This window comes from Homo sapiens, chromosome 1 (assembly GCF_000001405.40).
Source record: "Homo sapiens chromosome 1, GRCh38.p14 Primary Assembly".
Lineage (NCBI taxonomy): Eukaryota > Metazoa > Chordata > Mammalia > Primates > Hominidae > Homo > Homo sapiens.
Genome location: NC_000001.11, coordinates 194,425,444 through 194,428,768, shown reverse-complemented (window position 1 = coordinate 194,428,768; position 3,325 = coordinate 194,425,444). Strand labels below are relative to the sequence as shown.

Genomic DNA, 3,325 nt, shown 5'->3' with positions numbered 1-3,325 from the left:
TAAAAGCTATAAAACAATCAAAGAAAATATAGCATGTTTATTTCACCATTATTATGTATTTTCCTGGAAAAAATGTGTAATAGTACCCCCAGGGGATAAGCCTGATTGATTTTTTTCCTGAGAGAAGTATTTTTATTTATTATGCAGTAAATATAGAGATATATGTAGTAAATATCAATATTTCAGTTAGAAAGAATGTTGCATATTGGGAAATAATATGTGTAACACATGCAATAAGCAATGGCTTAATATATCAAAGAACAGACAACACTTCCTGAAGAAGCACAGAAATAACAGAGATGAATAGCCTACCAGATTTACAATGACTTACAGAAATGAGCATCTATATAGTGTTGGAGAGGCTCTGTACACAGAGATTTCATAACTGTTGAAAGACAAGAGAAAGAGAGAAACAGACCATCTTTTTTGCGAAATTCATACACACACAAATTGAGGAAAACTTACTTCACAATTAATACATTAGAAAATGTTTGTGATTTAGTAATCAAGTTAATATTTTCAGCAGCATATGAAAAACTTGTTAATTAAACTCATTTAGCTATCGTAATATTCATGATGTTTACTAGTCTGTTATATGGTTATATCTTCCTTTTTTTTTTTCTGAGATGGAGTCTCATTCTATTGCCCCGACTGGAATGCAGTGGCGCGATCTCTGCTCACTGCAACCTCCGCCCCCCGAGGTTCAAGTAATTCTCCTGCCTCAGACTCCCGTGTAGCTGGGATTACAGGCATGCACCACCACGCCCAGCTAATTTTTGTATTTTTAGTAGAGACAGAGTTTCACCATTTTGGCCAGCCTGGTCTAGAACTCCTGACCTCCAGTGATCCACCTGCCTCAATCTCCCAAAATGCTGGGCTTACAAGCATGAGCCACTGAGCCAAGCCAATATACCTTACTTTTATGGTGAGAAACAATCAGCTTTAAACACCGTTATGGGTTGTCAGTGGCCTCAGTGCTTTCGGGCTACGCCCTTATTTACACTGACAACAAGGTGATACTGGAGTGTTATAGAGTTACAGAGAAGACCTTCAATTATCAATTATAGGTTTTAAATTTACCCTGGCTTTTAAAGGAATAGGGTCCAGTGTTTTTTCTTTACTATTTCTCTCTTTCTTTCTCTTTGGCTTTCTGTCTCTTTCTCTTTGACTCCTTCTTTGTCTCTGTCTCTTCCTCTCTCTCTCTGACTCCCTCTTTGTCACTCTGTCTCTTCCTCTCTCTGTCTCTCTTTCCTTTTCTCTTTGACTTTGTCTTACCCCTCTCTCTCTCTCTCTCTCTTTCTGTCTTTCTCTGCTGGTCTTTCCCTGCCTCTGCCAGCCACTTATGCTGCTGTTCTCCCCTCTCCTTCCCCTTTTTGATGGCTTCGGCTGTGTAAGACTGCCACCTCCTTGGGTTTTTGCACTATGTGCAATAACTCCATGATTTCCTTGTGGAATTTAATGCGGATTCTGCCAGAGGTTCGGAACTTCCTATCTTTCCATATTGCAGCATGGGCATGTAGGATTAGATAAGCATACTTGCTATCTATATACACGTTTGTTCTTTTTCCCTTTCTCAGTTCCGAGGCTTGGGTAAGTGCCACGAGTTCTGCTAACTGGGTGCTGGTCCCTGGGGGAAGAGGCTTACTTTCAAGTACTGTTATATCACTAACTGTGGCATAACCTGTCCTTCATATCCCATTCTCCACAAATGAACTTTCATTGGTATATAGGTTAAGGTCAGGATTAGCTAAGGGGACTTCTAAGAGATTCTCTCAGGTGGCATAAGTCTGGACTATAATTTGTTGGCAGTCATGCTTGATTGGTTCCCCATCCTCTGGGAGAAAAGTGGCAGGATTGAGAGCCACACACATACGTATTTGAAGCACTGGTCCCTCAAGGAGTAGTGCTTGGTATCTGAGCAGGCAGTTGTCTGATAGCCATAAACTTCCTTTGGCACCTAGTATGCCATTTACATCATTAGTAGTCCAGACAGTGAGATCCTTTCCTTGTATTATTTTGATAGCCTCTGATACTAAGATGGCCACCGCTGCAACTAGCAGTAAACAGTGAGGCCAGCCTTTTGCTAATATATCAATTTCCTTACTTGGGTATGCCACTGGTTGTGGGGTTGTCCCACAAGTCTGAGTAAGGACTCCAAGAGCTATTCCTGCTCTCTCTGTGATGCGTATAGAGAAGTTTTGTCCTGTAGGAAGGCTTAAGGCTGGAGCTTGTACTAGGGCCTGCTTCAAGGTTTTGAAGGCTGTTTCTGCCTCTGGTTCCCATTCTACTAGATGAGTATTTGCCCTCTGGGTCTCCTTGATTAGAGTAGCGAGGGGCTTGGCTATGTCACTGTATCTGGGGATCCATAGTCGGCAAAAGCCGGTGATTCCAAGGAACCTCCACAACTGTTTTAATGTCTTTGGGAGACGGTAAGCCAGTATAGTCTGTATTCGTTCCTTGCTGAGGGCCCTGGTTCCTCTGGCTAAGATTAGGCCTAGATATTTGACTTGTGGTAGGCAGAGCTGGGCCTTCAATTTAGATGCCTTGTACCATTGATTAGCTAGAAAGTTCAAGAGATCTAGAGTAGCCTGCTGGTATGAGGCTTCCGAACTGGTAGCCAACAGTAAATCATCCACATGTGGAAGGACCAGAGTGCCTGGACTTGAGCAGTGGCCTAGATCTTGGGCCAGTGCCTGACCAAACAGATGAGGGCTATCCCTAAACCCTTGGGGCAAGACCATCCACGTAAGTTGGGATGTGCGGTCTGTGGGATCCTCCAAGGCAAAGAGAAACTGGGAGTCAGAGTACAGGGGAATACAGAAGAAGGCATCCTTCAGGTCCAGAACCATGAACCATTCTGCTTCCTCTAGTAGTTGAGAGAGAAGGGTATAGGGGTTGGGTACAACTAGATATAGAGGAATCACTGCCTCATTGATGAGTCTAAGATCTTACACTAGTCTCCACTGAGTGTTCAGTATTTTTACTCCTAGAATTGGGGTGTTGCAGGGACTGCTGCATTTTCTTACTAAGCCTTGAGCTTTTAAATGTCTAACAATATCCTGTAATCCTTTATGAGCTTCAGGCCTTAAGGGATATTGCCTTTGAAAAGGAAAAGCGGTGGGGTCTTTTAGCCTGATTTGGACTGGGCAGGCATTTTTGCTGTTCCAGATTGTCGTTCCAATGCCCAGAATTCAGGGTTGATTCCCTCGTTAAGCAGGGGACAACAAATGGGTAACTTGTTCCCCATATTCATGTAGACAATAGCTCCAGCTTTGTCTAATATGTCCCTGCCTAATAAGGGTGTGGGACTTTCAGGCAAAACAAG

At 42.9% G+C, this 3,325-nt stretch overlaps 1 annotated feature.

Moving 5' to 3' along the window:
* Positions 1,423-1,623: a silencer, noted in NCBI's record as "peak617 fragment used in MPRA reporter construct". NCBI's record gives its function as "represses an SCP1 promoter by STARR-seq MPRAs in K562 erythroleukemia cells {active_cell/tissue: K562}" and the evidence as "EXISTENCE:reporter gene assay evidence [ECO:0000049][PMID:32103011]".